At 40.8% G+C, this 20637-nt stretch overlaps 2 protein-coding genes and 1 long non-coding RNA gene across 15 annotated transcripts in view; 1 reads left to right on the forward strand and 2 right to left on the reverse strand.

Moving 5' to 3' along the window:
* LOC124902937 (uncharacterized) overlaps positions 1-7544 on the forward strand; it is a 50712-nt gene extending 43168 nt beyond the window's left edge. Inside the window, exon 3 of the long non-coding RNA XR_007063316.1 lies at positions 7226-7544. This is a non-coding gene — a long non-coding RNA (uncharacterized LOC124902937). The remainder of the gene's footprint in view (positions 1-7225) is intronic.
* Positions 1-20637, reverse strand: part of ATF7-NPFF (ATF7-NPFF readthrough) — a 119695-nt gene that overhangs the window by 71846 nt on the left and 27212 nt on the right. The gene's annotated exons all lie outside the window — the stretch shown is intronic.
* ATF7 (activating transcription factor 7) overlaps positions 1-20637 on the reverse strand; it is a 118527-nt gene that overhangs the window by 70678 nt on the left and 27212 nt on the right. The gene's annotated exons all lie outside the window — the stretch shown is intronic.

The following is a 20637-nucleotide window of genomic DNA, read 5'->3' on the forward strand; positions in this document are numbered from 1 at the left end:
CACTCTGGGAGGCTGAGGCGGGAGGACTGCTTTAGCCCGGGAGTTTGAGATCAGCCTGGGCAATATCAGCAGACCCTATTTCTAACAAAAATAAAAATAAATTAGCTGGGCATGGTGGTGCTTATCTGCTGTTCCAGCTACTCCAGTGGCTGAGATGGGAGGATTGCTGGAGCCAGGGATGTTGAGGCTGTAGTGAGCTACAACCTTGCCACTGCACCCCAGCCTACGTGACACAGTGAGATGCTGTCTCAAAAAAAAAAAAAAAAAAAATATCTGGGATTCGAATCAGCCCTCTCCAGCTCCAAGCACACTGGGATCCTTGCCGTTGGAGGTTGCTGTTGGCTTCTGCCCGTGCTGTGTATTGAGATCTGCAACCAAGCATGGGAGCTTACGAAGGCACCTGGTGGTTTCTAGGTAGGAAAACAGTGTGGATGCCAGATGTGGTGCCTCACACACAACAGCACTTTGGGAGCCTGAGGCAGGCAGATCACCTGAGGTCAGGAATTCGAGACCAGCCTGGCCAACAGAGAGAAACCCTGTCTCTACTAAAAAAATACAAAAAAAATTAGTCAGGCATGGTGGTACCTGTAGTCCCTGCTACTTGGGAGGCTGAGGCACAAGAATCACTTGAACCTGGGAGGCAGAGGTTACAGTGAGCTGAGATGGTGCCGCTGCACTCCAGCCTGGGAGACAGAGCAAGACTCCATCTTAAAAAAAAGGGCCGGGTGCAGTGGCTCACGCCTGCAATCCCAGCACTTTGGGAGGCCAAGGCGGGCAGTTCACAAGGTCAGGAGTTCAAGACCAGCCTGGCCAAAATAGTGAAATGCCATCAAAATAGTGAAATGCCATCTCTACTAAAAATACAAAAATTAGCCGGGCATGGTGGTATACACCTGTAATCCCAGCTACTCAGGAGGCTGAAGCAGGAGAATTGCTTGAACCCAGGAGGCAGAGGCTGCTGTGAGCTGAGATCGTGCCACTGCACTCCACCCTGGGAGACAGTGCGAAACTCCGTCTCAAAAAAAAAAAAAAAAAAGCGTGGAGTGTGCGTAATTGTGTTTGAGGAAGAGATGGTCACTGTCTCTATGGTAGTGTCTTTAGGGAACTATCTGTGCCTGGATCCTGGGGAATTATGACAAAGCAGTCTGCAGGTTTGGCATGAACTCTGAACTTTCTCCCTCTGCAGGATCTTCAATAGAAAGGTCCTGTCCTGAGGAAACACTCAGAGGCACTTCTCTTGCTTGTGAAGCCTGCCAGCATGTATGTTTTGGTCAGCACTGAGATGCACATGACAAATTGTGCGCAATGCCTCAGCACAGCCCAACGGGGTTTTTTCTGTTTACACTTGACTAGCCTTGGACAGTAGGAGGAAACCTTAAATATTTCCTTCTACTCTCACAAACCCTTTATCTTTTTTTTTGAGACGGAGTCTCACTCTGTCGGCCAGGCTGGAGTGGCACGATCTCAGTTCACTGCCACCTCCACCTCCTAGGTTCAAGCGATCCTCCTGCCTCAGCCTCTTGAGTAGTTGAGACTACAAGCGCACACTGCCACACCTGGCTAATTTTTGTATTTTTAGTAGAGACGAGGTTTCACCATGTTGGCCAAGCTGGTCTCAAACTCCTGACCTCAGGTGATCCACCTGCCTTGGCCTCCCAAAGTGCTGGAATTACAGGCGTGAGCTACCACACCCGGCCTCACAAACCTTTTATCTAATAAAACAAAATTACTGCCAAAAAAAAAAAAGAGACAATGTCAGAGTCAATCAAAAAACAAGACCTAACTGTATGTTGTATATGAGAAAACCCCTTTAATACAAATAAACATATAGATTAAAAGTAAAAAGATAGGCCGGGTGCGGTGGCTCACGCCTGTAATCCCAGCACTTTGGGAGGCCAAGGCGGGTAGATCACAAGGTCAGGAGATCGAGACCATCCTGGCTAACACAGTGAAACCCCATCTCTACTAAAAATACAAAAAATTAGCTGGGCGTGGTGGCGGGTGCCTGTAGTCCCAGCTACTCAGAAGGCTGAGGCAGGAGAATGGTGTGAACCCGGGAGGTGGAGCTTGCAGTGAGCGGAGATCACGCCACTGAACTCTAGCCTGGGTGACAGAGCGAGACTCCATCTCAAAAAAAAAAAAAAAAAAAAAGTAAAAAGATAAAGATATACCCTAATCCAAAAAAGGTGAGAATAGCTATATTAATTTTAGAAAGAAAGATATCAGGAATAAAGACGAGCATTGCATAATGATAAAATGGTCAATACTCCAAGATGACATACAAATTCTTAATGCAGGCCAGGCATGGTGGCTCACACCTGTAACCCCAGCACTTTGGGAGGCCAAGGTGGGTGGATCACTTGAGGTCAGGAGTTCGAGACCAGCCTGGTCAACATGGTGAAACCCTGTCTCTACTAAAAATACAAAAATTAGCCAGGCATGGTAGCATGCACCTGTAATCCCAGCTACTCAGGAGGCTGAGGCAGGAGAACCATTTGAACCTGGGAGGTAGAGCTTGCAGTGAGCCAAGATTGTGCCACTGCACTCCAGCCTGGGCGACAGAGCAAGATTCCATCTCAAAAAAAAAAATAAATAAAAAATAAAAATAAAAATAATTAATGTGTATGTAGCTAACAACAGAGCATCAAAATATGTGAAGGAAAAACTGACAGAACTGCAAAGAGACAGATAGATGAACCTGCTCTTATATTAACAGTTGGAGACTTTAACACCCCTCTATCAGAAATGGACGTATCCAGCAGGCAGAAAATCAGTAAGGACACAGTTGAACTCAACAGCACCATCAATCAACTGGACATAATTAACATCTATAGATTAATTCATCCAACAACAGATTATACATTCTTCTTAGCTCACATGGAACATTTACCAAGACTGACCACATTCTGGGCCATATAACACACCTTAACAAGTTTAAAAGAAATCACACAATGTCTGCCCTCAAACTGCAATGGAATTAAAGTAGAAATCAGTGACAGAAAGATAGCTGGAAAATATGAAAGGACTTAGATTAAATAACATACTTCTAAATAATACATGAAGCAAAAAAGAAATCTCCAGAGAAATTAAAAAGTATTTTGAACTACATGAAAATGCAACTTATAAAAATTTGTAGGATGCAGCAGAAACAGTGATTAGTGGGAAACTGATAGCAGTGAATAAACATACTAGAAAAGAAAAAGATCTAAAATCAATAATCTAAGCTTCCACCTTAGAAAACTAGGGGGAAAAAGAGCAAATTAAATCCAAAGCAAGCAGAAGAAAAGAAATAATAAAAATTAGTGTAGGTCAGGGGTGGTGCCCCATGCCTATAATCCCGGCACTTTGGGAGGCTAAAGCAGGAGGATTGCTTGAAGCCAGGAGTTTGAGACCAGCCTGGTCAACACTGCAAGACCATGTCTCTATAAAAAATAAAAAAATTAGCCGGGTATGGTGGTGCTCAGGAGGCTGAGGCGGGAAAATCATTTGAACTGAGGAGTCGGAGGCTATAGTGAGCTAAGATCACATCACTGCACTCTAGCCTGGGCAACAAAGTGACACCCTGTCAAATGAATGAATGAACAAAAAAAGAGTGGCCAACATGGTGAAACCCCATCTCTACTAAATACAAAAAGAAATAAAAAAATTAGCTGAGCATGGTGGCGCGCGCCTGTAATCCCAGCTACTCAGGAGGCTGAGGCAGGAGAATCTCTTGAACCTGGGAGGTGTAGGTTGCAGTGAGCCGAGATCATGCCACTACACTCCAGCCTGGCGACATAGCAAGACTCTGTCTAAAAAAAAAAAAAAAAAACCTACTATAGGCCTGGCATAGTGCCTCATGCCTGTAATCCCAGCACTATGGGAGGCCAAAGTGGGAGGATTGCTTGAGACTAGGAGTTTGAGACCAGCCTGGGGAACATAACGTGACCCTGTTTCTACCAACACCCCCCGCCCCAAAAAGAAAAAAAACCTACTAGAAAGCTACAGTAGCAAACATAGTGTGGTACTAGAAAAAGAATAGACACATAAATTACTATATATATTTTATTTATTTATTTATTTTGAGACGGAGTCTCGTTCTGTCGCCCAGGCTGGAGTGCAGTGGCGAGACCTTGGTTCACTGCAAGCTCCGCCTCCTGGGTTGACGCCATTCTCCTGCCTCAGCCTCCGGAGTAGCTGGGACTACAAGTCCCCGCCACCACGCCCGGCTAATTTTTTGTATTAGCCGGGATTAGTAGAGACGGGATTTCACCATGTTGGCCAGGATGGTCTCATCTCCTGACCTCGTGATCCGCCCACCTCGGCCTCCCAAAGTGCTGGGATTACAGGCGTGAGCCACCGCACCTGGCCATCAATTACTATATTTATGTGAATAAACAGAGGGTCCAGAAATAGACCCACATAAATATAGTCACTGATCTTTGACAAAGAAGCAAAGGCAATACAATGAAGCAAAGATAATCTTTTCAACAAATGGTGCTGGAACAACTGGACATCCACATGCAAAAAAATGAATCTAGACACATGCTTTATAGCCTTCACAAAACTTAAAATGGATCACAGACCTAAATGTAAAATACAAAACTATAAAATTTCTAGAAGATAATATAGGGGAACACCTACACCAGGGGCCACACAGCAGGGGGTGAGCAGCAGGCAAGTGAGTGAAGCTTCATCTGTATTTACAGCCACTCCCCATCACTTGCATTACAGCCAGAACTCTGCCTTCTGTCAGATCAGTCGCAGCATTAGATTCTCAAAGGAGTCCCAACCCTACTGTGAACTGTGTATGTGAGGGATCTAGGTTGTATGCCCCTTATGAGAATCTAATGCCTGATGATCTGTCACTATCTCCCATCACCCCCAGATGGGACCATCTAGTTGCAGGAAAACAAGCTCAGGGCTCCCACTGATTCTACATTATGGTGAGTTGTATAATTATTTCACTATTATATTATAATTTAATAATACTATAAATAAAGTACACAATAAATGTAATTTGCTTGAATCCCCCCCACCCCCAGTCCATGAAAAAAATTCTTCCAGGAAACCAGTCCCTGGTGTCAAAAAGGTGGGGGACCACTGACCTAGATGACTTTTGTATGGCGATGACTTTTTAAATACAACACCAAAGTCATGATCCATGAACTAAGTAATTGATAAGCTGGACTGTGCTAAAATTAGAAATATCTGCTCTGTGAAAGACAATGTCAAGAAAATGTAAAGACAAGCTACAGAATGGGAGAGAATGTAAAAGATACACCTGATAAAGGACTGTCATACAAAATACACAAAGAACTCTTAAAACTGAACAGTAAGAAAATGAACAACCTGATTAAAAAATGGGCAACGGACTTTAGTCAGACACTTCACCAAAGAAAAATACAGATGGCAAATAAGCATGCTCAACATCATGCCATCAGGGAAATACAAATACAGATAATTGTTATTAGTATTATTTTTTGAGACAGACTCTCACTCTGTCACCCAGGCTGGAGTACAGTGGCGTGATCTTGGCTCACTGCAACCTCCGCCTCCCAAGTTCAAGCGATTCTCCTGGCTTCAGCCTCCTGAGTAGCTGGGACTACAGGCACTTGCCACCACGCCCAGCTAATTTTTGTATTTTTAGGAGAGACGGGGGTTTCATCATATTGGCCAGGCTCTTCTCGAACTCCTGACCTCAGGTGATCCACCCGCCTTGGCCTTCCAAAATGCAGGGATTACAGGTGTGAGCCACCCGGCAGGCATTAAATTGTTGTTTAATGCAAATTAAAACAACAAAATCCATTACACACCTATTAGAGTGGCCAAAATCCAAAACACTGACAACATTAAATGTTGATAAGGATGTGGAGCAACAAGAACTCTCATTCATTTTTGGTGGGAATGCTAAATAATATAGCCACTTTGGAAGACAGTTTGACAGTTTCTTACAAAACTAAACATAGTCTTACCATAAACATAGTATTACCATATGATCCAGTGATCACACTCATTGATATTTACCCAAATGAACAGAAAACTTATGTCCACACAAAAGCCTGCACATGGATATTTATATAGCAGCTTTCTTTACTCATAATTGCCAAATCTCGGAAGCAATGAAGATGTCCTTCAGCAGGTGAATGGATAAATTGTGGTACATTCAGACAATGGAATATTACTCAGCACTAAAAAGAAATAAGGTATCAAGCCATGAAAAGATAAGGAAGAAACTTAAATGCATATTACTAAATGAAAGAAGCTAGTATGAAACGGCCTTATATTGTATGATTCCAACTAAACAACATTCTGTAGACGGCAAAACTACGGAGACAGTAGTTTTGGCAAGATCAGTGCTTGCCAGCGGTCAGTGGGAAGTGAGGGATGAACAGGCAGAGCACAGAGGATATTTAGGACAGTGAAACTATTCTGTATGATACTACAATGGTGGATACGTGTCATTTTATATATTGATTTGACAGGAGTTCACTCTGTTGCCCAGGCTGGTGTGCAGTGGCACAATCATGGCTCACTGCAGCCTTGACCTCCCGGGCTCAAGCAGTCCTCCCACCTCAGCCTCCTGAATAGCTGGGACTACAGGTGCACATTACCACACCTGGCTAATTTTTAATTTTTTTTTTGTAAGGATGGGGTCTCACTATGTTGCCTAGGCTGGTCTTGAACTCCTGGGCTCCAGCAATCCTCCTGCCTCGGCTTCCCAAAGTGTTGAGATTACAGGCATGAACCACTGTGCCCGGCCTCATTATATATTTGTTAAAACCTACAGAATTTGTAATACCAAGAGTGAATTCTAATATAAACTATGGACTTGGGTGATAATATGTCAATGCAGGTTCATTGAATGTAACAAATTAGCATTGTGGTTCAGTATGTTGACAGTGGGGGAGGCTAGTGTGTGTGAGGACAGGAGGTATATGAGAATCCTCTGCACTTTTCACTCAATTTTGCTGTGAATCTAAAACTGCTCTAAAAAAAATAGTTTCTTAATTTAAAAAAAAGCAAAGGAAGAGCATAAATGAAAAAAGAAAAGACTGAAAACCACTAAGTAAATGTGAATAGCTTCTTGCATATTCATTCTCATACAGTGCTCAGAAAAGACAGAAAACCAAAGCATAGCAGAAAGTCCAGCTTCCAAGCAGGAACTGGTGTCTCCTTGACAGAGCTTCAATCCAATTATGCCCCAGACACTGATTTTTCTATCACTACCTCCCCTTTGTTTCAGAGACAGTATCCATGACCTTCTGTTCATGCGGTGGAGGAAGAAATTGCTTCCCAGAAAGGCTTAGCCCACTCCATTCTACTAGATAAAGGAAAAACAAAAAGCCACTCCACTCTGACAAGCCGATTACTGTCTATGGAGAAGCAAAATGCCTCCCTTAGGACTATGGGAATAGCCAACAAGGTACAGTATGTTCAAACCTTTAACCATGACTCTGCCAAGAGCAGCTATGTATGTGAATACAATCTCCTCATCTGGGCAGTCAAATATGCATAACTGAAAGTACAAACCTCCATAAGGTCCTGTCTAGTTATAGTTTCAAATGCACAGAAAGTGAAAGAAGGCTGAAATAAAGTCTCCCCTATCCACTATTGCAATTATCTAGGTAAAGCCTAGAAGGAAAGAACAGGAAAGACTGAAGAGGGAAAGTTAAAGTGTTGAATATAATATGATATTTTATAAAACATACACAGACATCTAGACCCCTGAAATTTTTAGACTACTTTTATTGTTCCCTCACAATACGTACAACCTAAGGAGACTACAGTCTCCGTTAGTCCTAAAAAATACCTGAAACTGAAGTAAAATGACAAATGTCTGAAGTTATGAACATAATGTAATTTAAAAAATTAATGTGCATAGATTGCCACCATGTAAAAAAAAAAAAAGATGTTCACTGAAGTGACAGATGTCTATAATACTATTTACCCATTCTAGTATTATACAAACTCCAGGTATGTACTACAACTGAGATCTTTAAAACTATCTGAACACCTCTTTTCACTTGATTCAAATAACTATGCCAATGTAAGATTTGTTATTGTCAGTGAGCTTGAGAACAGAGACATAAAATGGAGGTAATCAAAGCTTAGCATTAAAATGTAGTCTTCATCCATCCTATTAAACTGTCACTGTCTCTCTGATAACTTCTCAGGAGCCAAGCTTTTAGCTCAGTTCTACAGGCTGCTGCCCTGAACCACTTTTTCTTTGCATTTACTTTTTTATAGGAACTCCTGTCATCACTCTCTCACACACACACAAATACACACACACACGCACACACGTGCACGCTCACACACAACTAACTGGTCTATCAGAGGCACCCAGCAAAATAAACAAATGAGATCTTTGGATATCACGAGTGATCATTTTGGTCAGTTACAACCTTACCCAGTGAGGCAGTCTCAGTTCTGAAGCCAAGAACTTGACTTCGTGGTAAGAGGTGGAAAAGACAAGACTCTAGTCAGGTATTTCCTGCAGCTGAATGCACAGTTAATTTCACATGGTTCACAGATATACAATGAATCATCAGAATCAAGAAGGAAAATGTGCTGGGCACGGTGGCTCACGCCTCTAATCCCAACACTTTGGGAGGCTGAGGAGGGCGGATCACTTGAAGTCAAGAGTTTGAGACCAGCCTGGCCAACATGGTGAAAACCCATCTCTACTGAAAATACAAAAATTAGCTGGGCTTGGTGGTGCACATCTGTAGTCCCAGCTACTTGGGAGGCTGAGGCAGGAGAATCACTTGAACCTGGGAAGTGGAGGCTGCAGTTAGCCGAGTTTGTGCCACTATAGTCCAGCCTGGGTGACAGAGCGAAATTCCGCATCAAAAAAAAAAAAAAAAAGAAGGAAAACGTGACGCACGCCTGTAATCCCAGCACTTTGAGAGGCTGAGATGGGCGGATCACTTGGATCACTTGAGGTCAGGTGTTCAAGACCAGCTTGGCCAATATGGTGAAACCCCATCTCTACCAAAAAAATACTAAAACTAGCTGGTTCACACCTGTAGTCTCAGCTGTTTGGGAGGCTGAGGCACGACAATCGCCTGAACGTGGGAGGCAGAGGTTGCAGTGAGTGAGCTGAGATCGCACCACTGTACTCCAGTGCACTCCAGCCTGAGTGATAGAGCGATCAAAAAAAAAAAAAGGAAAATGGGAAAATGTATGTTTTAAGCAACTTTCCAGTTAAAGACATTCAGACAACATATACAAAGAATCCCTTTACTGTAAATATCAACTATTAGATTCTCTGGTCTCTTTTGATCCTCTATGTATACTTCTACATATATATATATATATATATATATTTTTTTTTTTTTTTCTTTTTGACACGAAGTCTTGCTCTGTCACCCAGGCTGGAGTGCAATGGCACGATCTAAGCTCACTGCAACCTCTGCCTCCCAGGTTCAAGCAATTCTCCTGCCTAAGCCTCCTCCTTAGTAGCTGGAATTATAGGCACCTGCCACCACCCCCAGCTAATTTTTGTAGTTTTAGTAGAGACAGGGTTTCACCATGTTGGCCAGGATGGTCTCGAACTCCTGACCTCAGGTGATTCGCTGGCCTCAGCCTCCCAATGTGCTGGGATTTCAGGCATGAGCCACTGCGCCCGGCCACTTCTACATATTTTTATCACTTAAATTATTTCATGTAAATATTTCCATGAATCTACATAGCCATATATTTTCACTTGTGATGATAAATGAAATTTCCATTGCATTAACACAGCACAGTTTCTAAGACAAAAGGAAAAAGCAGATGTGTAGAGGTGCTATGAAGTCAAAGAAGGACAGGATGTGAGACCTGAGTGGAGAATTGTATTATTCAACAGGCGAGATCCTCTATGTAGCCATATGCCAAAAATGTCAGAGAATAAGCAAGTTAGCAATCACTGAGCAGATTATACATCTCATTATAGTGTTGTTCTAATCATACCCTAATTCCACCTTAGTCATATTTCCTCTTACCAATAAGTATGGCAGCCACCAGAACAAAAGCCCCAATTACTACATGGCACTAGTCAAAGCAAGATACCCATCCTTTGTATGTGGGAGCTTATGGGCATAAAACTAAGGCGAGAAAGAAGAAAATATGGATCAGGAAGTAACCTAGCCTAGAATGCACAAAGATGACACCCACAATGCTTCTCTGGGCCTATTAGTAGAGGATGCTGAAGCCTTGATTTTAGGTCCCAGGTTTCTTGTTCTGTCTACGTTTCTGGTTGGCCAAAAATTAATTTTCTTTCCTCTTTAGAATCATGTCCTTGCTGCAAAATGATGGTGGTTTACCTCAGAGAGTAGACACATTTCAGCATCATTACCAGGCAGATAAAAAACATTGTAGACTAGGGCTGAGGCAGTTGCAGAAAGATTTCTTCATTTTCATAAGAATTTACACCTTTTTTTTTTGTTTGCTTTGTTTTTTGCTCAGGCAGAGCTCAGCTACAGATTTAGCTCTCTCTGGTATGGCAGCTAGATATATAGATCAGTAATAAACTATACAAAAGACTTAGCTGACTGATTTGGACCATTTACCAAAAAAACACTACTTACTCATTTTTTTCTAGGCTAGATGTGGATACTGATGTGCGTATGGAAAATAATAAGGAAGCAATTTAGCAGAGTGGTTAAGAGAGCTGGTATGGAGTCTAACCATCTGGGTTTATGTTACAACTCCATCACAAAATACTGAGTAACCCTGTACAAGTTAGTTCTCTGAGCCTTAGTTTTCTCACTGGTAATTCTCCCTCAGAGGTTGCTAGGATTAAATAAAATATCCCTGTAAAGTACTTTGGCAGAGTACATGATAAAAGCTCAGTGAGCTATAATTATTGCTGCTGTTGCTGCTGTGTTATCAATGAAATCAAACAATTTTCATTGTATTTTATTCTCTCCCTTCCCTGTATGCTTTCTGGATGGAAAGATCATTTTCCTGTACCTTATATAAACACATTTCCTCTAAATTGTATATACATGTATGCATACATGACCTGTTAATATGCACTAATTGATGTTAACCCTGACCACCATGCTAAGAACTTTCCCTAGGCTAGTGTTCACTTTACCACAGAGTCAGTTCAGTCTGACAAGTTAGGAAAGTAGTACTGAGCCAAGACTGGGAGATTCTCATATTTAGTCAAATCGAGAGGGTAAAGAGACAATATCTCTATGAAAGAAGATCCTACTCCGTACCAACGAGCTAGAATTCTAAGCAGACAGGAACCATGAGTCCTAGAACTACAGAAATCAGTATTTCTCCTTCCCCCATATTTTATCAATCTAAATTTTCCAGAGTAGGGAAAGGAAGAAATGGTTCTTTCTTTCTAAATTAAGTTGGTTCCAGTGTTTATCTGGGCTATTCTTAACACTTACACTTCTCAAGTAGTTTCTTTTTTTATTTTTATTTTTATTTTTTGGTAGAGTCAGGGTCTCGCTTTGTTGCCCAGGCTGATCTCGAACCCCTGGCTTCAAGCAATCCTCCTGCCTTGGCCTCCCAAGGTGCTGGGATTATAGGCATGAGCTTCTAGTAAAAGAAGCTGAGATAGCCCAAAATAAAATGCAAAAGTAAATCTGCTTATCTTGCACATCCTCATAAACTTCAATATCTCCTTTGCTCAGGGACCATTCTACCTAAGCCAGTCCACATCTGTGATCCCCTAACCCCAAATAAAAACGTCCATTTCTTTATGTAGCCAATATCACAGTCGTCATTAAACCAATTCATACTAAAGTGTGAATGACAGCCCCCACAGAGTTCTCCATAGTTTTCCAAGAACTTAGTAATTTACATGAATCTTTAATTAGTATAGAAGTACAAGAGTTTATTTCTGGATGAGGAATCTTTGCACTAATGTTCTTCAATCATATATAAGGCTGCCCATGGGAAGAAGGGAGAGAATGAGACTTTATTGTCCTCAACCTAATCAAAGGAAAAGAGATCAAATGCTCTACTTCCTCTTGCTTTTGCTCAACCCTAATACCTTGATTCCCCAGATACAGCCCATTCAGTGTTCATCTTGTCCTTGCTCCTAACACCTAGAACCAATAAAACTGTCACTAGGCAAGCTAATTCCTATAACATCAGAGAGACTCCCAACAGAGAAGAAGAAAGGCTGGGCCACCTAAATCTCCCTGGATAAATGCTTGGAGTTTTAGATAGAACTTGGAGCTGTGGAGTCTCCCACGTCTAATTTCCTCTCCCCATTTTTTTCCAGCAATTTCCAATCACATGCTTATCTACTCACAACTTTAAAAAATCAGAGGGCTATATGATTCCTACTACATGACATTCTAGAAAAAGTGAAACTACAGAGACAGTACAAAGATCAGTGGTTACCGGGGGTTCAGAAGGGTGGGATGAATAGGTGGAGATTTTTATGGCAGTGAGACTATTCCATATGGTATTGTTATAGTAGATACATATTATTATACATTTGCGAAACCCCACAGAATGTATAGGCAGTGAACACTAATGAAAATTATGGCCTTTAGTTAATAATAATGTATTAATATTTGGTTCAACAATTGTAACAAATATAGCACACTGATGCAAGATGTTAACAATAAAGGAAATTGTGAGTAGGGGTGGAGTGAGGAGGTATACGGGAACTCTACTCTGCACTCAATTTTTCTATACGCTTACTGCTGCTCTAAAAAATAAAGTCTATTAATTTTTTTAAATAGAGGAAACACTGGCGAATAATCCCCACCAGTACCACGGCTAATAAGAGCCAAGATAAGCTGTATAAAAAGGACATAAAAATGTAAAAAATTAGACTGTAGGGCTTGATCTCAAACAGTAACTAAAGGACAATAACTAAAGACAGGAAAGAAGCTTGAGGAAGTGAAGGAAAGACAACCTCATAGTGGCATTTTATAGTGACTAGTGTGCAAACAACTAAAACAAATTTATTTCCCTCACAGAAAGAGAACAGAAGCCAAGACACTTAAAAGGGACACTGAGTTTCTCAGCAGAAAAATCACCACCATTAAGCCTCTGGCATACTTACGAGTATCACCCTGATGCCTCTCCCTGTGGCTAAGGAATCAGAGCTTGTCATTGTAACCAAATCAGCAACCTGTGCTGGTGCCAATCTTTATAGTGGATTGAGCTATTTTTCAGGAAAAGCAAGGGATAATTGCCCAGTATCAAAAGAAGATCTGACCCTTGGGAGGAGAAAGGAGGTGTTCCTTTTGCCACAGGATGATTCTCTCTGGAATAACATAAATGGCTCTTTGAGAGACCATGTCTTTGATAAGCAGCGGTGCAACTCTGACAGCCAATCTGCTGAATGTCGAACAGAGCACTCAGCTTTCTACAATGACTCAAAGGACACAGCAAGGCTGCAGATTTATTCTGCTGACTTTCCCCGCACAGCCACTCAAGTTTTTCAAAGGCAAAAAGGAACAACTCTTTCCTTTCAATCCAGGGAATTGCAAATTCCACTGGGATTTAAAGACAGAGCTATGTTTGCTCAAAATCTGACATCGCTGATGTGAACAACAAGATTTAAAAGCTTGGAATGATGGCTGGCAATTTTAGCAGTTAGAGCAGAAGTTGGTTCGGCACTTCAATCTGCCAGCAGAATCAGCAGTCACACAGGGCACATGGTGTGCCAGACTGGGAATGAGCTAATTTCACAAAATTCATTCTCATTCTCTTTGTACTTTCACATGACAATTGCAAACAGTCCACATTCTTACCAAAGCACAAATACAAAGGTAGCATATTTCACTGCACAAAGAAATTTCGAAGTAAAAACACAAAGGCACTGTTACAAAGAGATAAACCTCAAAGCTTCTATCTTTTCTCCATGATGCTTTCCTTCTTGAAATCCTATCCTTAACATGATAATTTTGAGACAAAACTTTAAAAAGCAACATCTCCCTACAATAAACTATTAAAACTATTTCTTCTTCACAATTTGTATGTCAATTCTTCAAGATGAGATTTTGAAACAGAAAACCATTCTACACATTCTACCTCAAAAGTAACATCCACATGCTACGATTTAAAGGACAAGCTCTCTGTGGTTAAATAGATTCAACCCCCAACAGACAAAAGAAAACTAGGCTTGACAGTTAAGATACCCAATTTCTGTTTAAAACATGTGTTGTTATCTTATGATAGCAAACAAAGAAAAAAAACCCTCAAATTTGGGGGTGATGAGTTCTATTGTGATTTTAAAAAACATGTATTATTGTACTAAGTACACTAGTACAATAGGTACTGAAGCAAAGTGATTAGTAATAGCAAAACAGCACAGAAAATTATAAGCAGAAAATCAGAATAACATTTTCCCCCAAACTAAATACATAACCTTTTCACAAAAATTAATGGAAAGAGGACAAAAATAAAGATATTTTGCTTTATAAATAATATTGGCAAACACTATACTTTATGTGTTAAGTTTTTAGACATAACCAAAGGCCTGACATTTAACCAAATGTCGACTAGCACTGTAATTCTTTCAGAAAGGTTTATCATTTGGTTATAAAGACTCTATTAGGATTAAAATCTCAGTATGACTGAACTCCAGAGCATGGGGCTTTTCTTAAAATATTACAAAGTCCACTTTAAAAGACTTTGTGCCAGGTGCAGTTGCTAATGACTGTAATCCCAAGTACTTGGGAGCCTCGGGTGAGAGGACTGCTTTAGGCTAGGAGTTCAAGACCAGCCTGGGCAGCACAGCAAGACCCTGTCTCTAAAAATAAAAACATAAAATTAGCCAAGCATGGTGGTGTGCACCTGTAGTCCCAGCTATTCAGGAGGACTGCCTGAGCCCAGGAGTTGCAGGCTTCAGTGAGTTATGATTGCACCACTGTACTCCAGCCTGGGTGACAGAACAAGACCCTATCTCTAAAAAAAAAATAAAAGTGGCATTGTGTTTAAGTCACTGGCACATAGTTAAAAAGCTTAAGTTTGCCCAGTCACAACTCTTTGAGCAGAATGTTGAAATTATTTTTCTCTTCAGAAAAATCTTCCAGAGAGCATCTCTTGTACCTTATTCATAATGTACAATTTATTGGCATTTCTTTTCCTTTCTAAATGGCCAGGAGGGAAGAGCTCCACAGCCACTGTATGTGGTTAGTAATGGCGCTTTTACTTGTCATTGTACAAAGCCTGTTAAATATTTACAACACAGACAGCAATATCTAGTCCTAAACATCCAGTTGTGAGTTTGAATTTTTTTAGAAATAAATCTATGACAAGTTTTCCCCAGTAAAACGCCAGAAGACTTTACTAACAGCTTCAAGAGACCCAGCGGGTCCAGAGGAGCAGTTATAGGCCATCTGCTGATTACTTATTATTATTTATACAGCACTGTAGATGTACACACAGATGTGTTATGAATCCACATACAGAGAGGCCCTAACAAGGGCTTCAGACAGAATGCGACTGCTGAGCAAGTCAATCTGCATTAAAGAAATACGCTAACCAGAGAGAGGGAGTACGCTGGCTGCTTTTTAATCTGCTGCATTCGCTGGAAGACTATTTGATAAAAGAATGAGGAATTCTATATAATGACAATATCTTGTAAGTCAACAACCTAGCTATATGCTATATGTAGTTTTGCCAGAGTGGCAAAGGAAGGATAAATGAAAGACAGGCTCTAAGATTCAGAAGGCACTTTGTAAACTCAGCAGTTTGCAAAAGAAGGGAGTAGGAAAGAGGCCTTTTAACTTAGGAAGAGCTGAGATGCAAAGAAAGGATTTTATTTTTTTTCTAACAGGAATGCTCTGAGAACAGTTTCTGGGCTCCCGTTTCAAATATTAAGTTATATCTAAGGAAAACAAGAGGGAATAACTGAAAAATGTCACCTTAATTTCCTGCGTGTAGTACCAATTAGATTCATACAGCCTTTTTTGGGAAGGGCAGACTGGAGCAAGGATGCTTTTAATCTACTGTGCTCTAGTAACATACATATATTTGTTTAAATATAACATGAAAAACAAAAATAATCAACTACATGTTTCTAAGGGCAAGTGTCAAGAGTATCAGATCTGACATTAAGAAACTTGAGTTTAATTCCTGCTCTTAGCATGTCTACATTTTAAAAATTCCAGTCCCAGGCCAAGTGCGGTGGCTTACGCCTGTAATCTCAGCACTTTGGGAGGCTGAGGCAGGCGGATCACCTGAGGTCAGGAGTTCAAGACCAGCCTGGCCAACATGGCGACACCCCATTTCTACTAAAAAATACAAAAATTAGCCAGGTATGGTGGTGGGCGCTTATAGTCCCAGTACTGGGGAGACTGAGGCAGGAGAATCGCTTGAACCTGGGAGGTAGAGGTTGCAGTGAGCCGAGATCACACCACTGCACTCCAGCTTGGGTGACAGAGCGAGACCCCATCTCAAAAAAAAAAAAAGAAAAAAAAAAATCCCAGTCCCAGTTTTGTCTATATGATACGTAAGAGCGGTCTACTTCCACCACAGGTTACTGCAGCATCCAGAGAGTGAACTGAAAGTTACTGCAAAGTCAACATAATACAAAAAATAAGGTTTAGCATTTGGCCTAATTTGTGTATAATGCCGTGTATTTTCAGCTGCCTGACAGCATGCAGGCACTCTTACCAGATGGGAACTAGATGAATTATTGAATGAAATATGAATTATTTAATAAAAATTAGAATTTTAAAAAACTCTTGGCAGAGGGTGGGGAAAAAAGGCTTATTTTTTTGCCTGAAATTGCCTTCACCTGTCGAAACATGTAAACATAGCATATACTACCACAAATGGCATTTACCTACCAGAGCCATTGCTTCCCCTCGTAATTCTCCAATTCAAGATGCTTCCCTAACATAAAGAATTAGTAATCACCACCAACTCATTCTTTCCTGCTTTTCTTTTGTGCTTATGCCAGATAATAGGGCAACTTGCCAAAGGGACAGAATTAAAGATCCAGAGTCCCACAGTACCAGTATGGCCCATTTAATGGGAGGGCTGGGATAACAGGAATAATCTCTATAGATTTGTGTTATATAGGCAATAAAACATATACCTTTGCAGCATGCCAGCATTTAACCAATCATAGGAGCTATTTGTTGCCTCATATATTACAGAGCAATAGAGATTTAAGGGATAATGTTCATGGAGGCAGAGGATACGAAGCAATAAACAGCTTTGGAGGTTGGTTAAATGCCAAGTGAAGCCAGGACTACAACACCATAAACATTATTCCTATTATATGACAAGATAAGGAGGTACAAGAAGCTGCCCTCAATCCCATCACAACTAGGGCTCCATCACTATTCTTGGCCTTAGAAAGGAAAAGCAGGCCCCAGAGGTCTATGAGTTAGTTATATGTTTCGTATCTCAGTTAGAAAGATATGAAGAGAATTTCAACCTGTACCTAAATGTCCTCTGGGAGAAGAGAAGAAGATCTGACAGTAGATCTCTCCAGGCAAAAAAAGAGTAATAGCCCCTCAGGGTCACACTGGACAGAGAAATAATCGAAGGATTTTTTCCTTAAAAGGACAGAGGTGGGCTGGGTGTGGTGGCTCATGCCTGAAATCCCAGCACTTTGGAAGACCAAGAGGGGCAGATCACCTCCAGTCAGGAGTTCGAGACCAGCCTGATCAACATGGCGAAACCTGTCTCTACTAAAAATACAAAAAAATTAGCCGGGAGTGGCAGTGGGCGCCTGTAATCCCAGCTACTTGGGAGGCTGAGGCAGGAGAATCACTTGAACCCAGGAGGTAGAGGTTTCAGTGAGCCGAGATCGCGCCACTGCACTCTAGCCTGGGCGATAAGAGCGAAACTCCATCTCACAAAAACAAAACAAAAAAAGGATGGAGGTGATACAAAATAGTTATGACAGAAACCTTTCTCACTGGCTAAGAACAAGATGATACTAACTCTCCATGAGTAGTATCTCCTCAGAGGAAATGCGTTCCTGTTTTTAAGGAAATTGACATTCTGATAAGCTGATATGACCAGCTTCTGTTCAAACACTTGATTATGGTAACCAGAAAGACTACTTAAATCTGCATAATTTATACTGCAAACCTGTGTCATGTGCCTGAGAGGGAGGCATAGGAATATGGAATTTGTTGATCCCAGTAATAAAAAACTGGGCAAAAAGCATCCAAAAGGTAAGTTATCTAACTGCGTTTATATGAAATAACATCTAAAATTCAAGATTACTGACAGAGACATAGTATTTATTCCCGCTTCCACATACAATGGAACAATTTTATAATCCATATTCAAGTAAAAGCGTCCTCCAAAAGTATAAAAAACTTATAAGACTTCCTATTAATAGATTCAGTACCAAACTATATTTCTATTATTTTAACAACACAAAGCTGTTTTATAGTCACAATGTCTTTAAATAGATGCTATCTTATAAACATTTCAAAAACCCATACAACTCAAATTCAACCAGTCCTCTGCCAAGAGGGTATCTGGGGCACTGTTGCCTTAACAACACTAACCCCATTCTCAGGAGGCAGCTCTATTAACTGCTCCTGCTACCACATTCCACAGAGAGGTATTAGCAGGGATATTGCTTTCCCTGAGTTCCTCTTCATGAGGTTGATGAGGCCTCAAGAGAAACAAAAAAATCTCAACAGGAGAATAGGAATAACAGGGCTAAAAAACCCTATCACCTGTCTTTTCCGCTAAGAATGCAGACAGCACAACCTTCAGCAGCGTTTTTTTTTTAAGCACATGCAGCATATTTAGAACTCAGCTGTGTCACATCAGACTTACTGGTGGGAAGTGGATCATGAACAGAATCCAAAAATAACAGCCATTAAAGACCTAGCAACCAAAACATGTTTACGTATCCATTGAAAGCCTAGTGGTTTTGATTATATAGTGGAGAGCATAATCCACTAGTCTATTCTGGGTGAATTTTCCTTTCACCTTCCCTTAATATTAAGGCACAGGACAATTTCTGAGTTTAGGAATGCATAGGGTAAAGTCTGGGCAAGGAGCAGATATTGACATAATGCAAGGTTCCTATAGTTTTGTTTGTTTTTTAAGAAATAGTAGCCAGGCACGGTGGCTCACGCCTGTAATCCCAGCACTTTGGGAGGCTCAGACGGGAGGACCACGAGGTCAGGAGACTGAGACCATCCTGGCTAACACGGTGAAACCCTGTCTCTACTAAAAATACAAAAAATTAGCTGGGTGTGGTGGCGGGTGCCTGTAGTCCCAGCTACTCGGGAGGCTGAGACAGGAGAATGGCGTGAACCCAGGAGGCGGAGCTTGCAGTGAGCTGATATAGCGCCACGGCACTCCAGCTTGGGCGACAGAGTGGAACTCTGTCTCAAAAAAAAAAAAAAAAAATAGTATCCTGAGTTATAATTGTTTTCATTCCTACTTCCTCTACCCAGTAGAAGCCACTGCTTTTTGAGACTTCTATGGTAGCAGGTTCTAAACCACGTCTTGCAAAAATTATCATGGTCCTTATTACCCATCCTGGGATTTACATAGCCTTTTTATTATTCTACCATTTCTGGAAGAAAGAACTTGAATCAATGACAAATGGATTACAAATAGTTTGAAAGGCTCAAGGTGGCTCCAGAATGAAACCATTCTCAAGGGATATTAAGGAAGTTGGATGACAGGCTAAGGGTAGTTCACTTTACCAAATTTATCTTATCTGCCAGATTTTCACTATTTCATACACATAAAGCAATCACAGTAAATCTTGTAGAGATCCCAATCTAGAGTTATTTGTTACCAGATCGTGGGAGAAACTTGGAAGAGACTAAATATAACTAAAGAACTATAATCTCACCTGACCATAAAGTTTTGACATGCAAAGGGGGTAAATGGGTGAATCATGCTACCTTCAAAACCTTAAGTTGTACCTTTGTATCCTTTTTCTATGAAATAAGTATCTTGAATCCAAAAGAAAGAGGTAGCAATGTTCCACACTCACCTTCCTACTGAGGGGAAAAAAGCTTTTAGAACCTAAGCCGGAGGTTATAATGAATCCTAATAACCAAAATACCAACAAATAATTCAGAAACAGGAGACAGAAGTAGGGGAAGGAAATGGCTTATGGTAAATGGAACACAACCTTACGAGAAGGAACCAAAGTCAAAGTCCCTACTATTTTCCTACCTCCAGTCCAAAACACAGCAAAACAAAAACAAATTTCACAAATCTGTGACATTTCACAAATTTCAGTGGATACTACTCTTTTCTGATAAGACAGCCTGAAAAGGTGTTATTTATATCTTTCTTCCTCAGAGAGCTTAAGAGATGCTTTTCTCATATATTCCTTATTTTTATCTTCTATTTTTACTTCTTTGCAAAGTCCTTGTCTGGGTTGTTTTAAGCATATAACATATATGAGGAGTTCAGGAGTAGTTTAAACAATAAGTGAAGAAAAATAATGGTAAGTATTAGAAAAATAAATCTTTTCACCAAAAATGCCTATTTTTCAACTAAAAGCAAGAAGTGAAAAAGGTACAAGGTATCGGTCATAAGCATCATAGTAAATAGTATTATCTAATTCCATGTAAAAATTTGGAGAGATCATTTTTAAATTTATTTATTTTGAGACAGTGTCTCGCTCTGTTGCCCAGGCTAGAGTGCAGTGGCATGATCATGGCCCACTGTAGCCTTGAACTCCTGGACTCTCAAGTGATCCTCCTGCATCAGCCTCCCAAGTAGCTGGGA

This window comes from Homo sapiens, chromosome 12 (genome assembly GCF_000001405.40).
Source record: "Homo sapiens chromosome 12, GRCh38.p14 Primary Assembly".
NCBI classification, from domain to species: domain Eukaryota; kingdom Metazoa; phylum Chordata; class Mammalia; order Primates; family Hominidae; genus Homo; species Homo sapiens.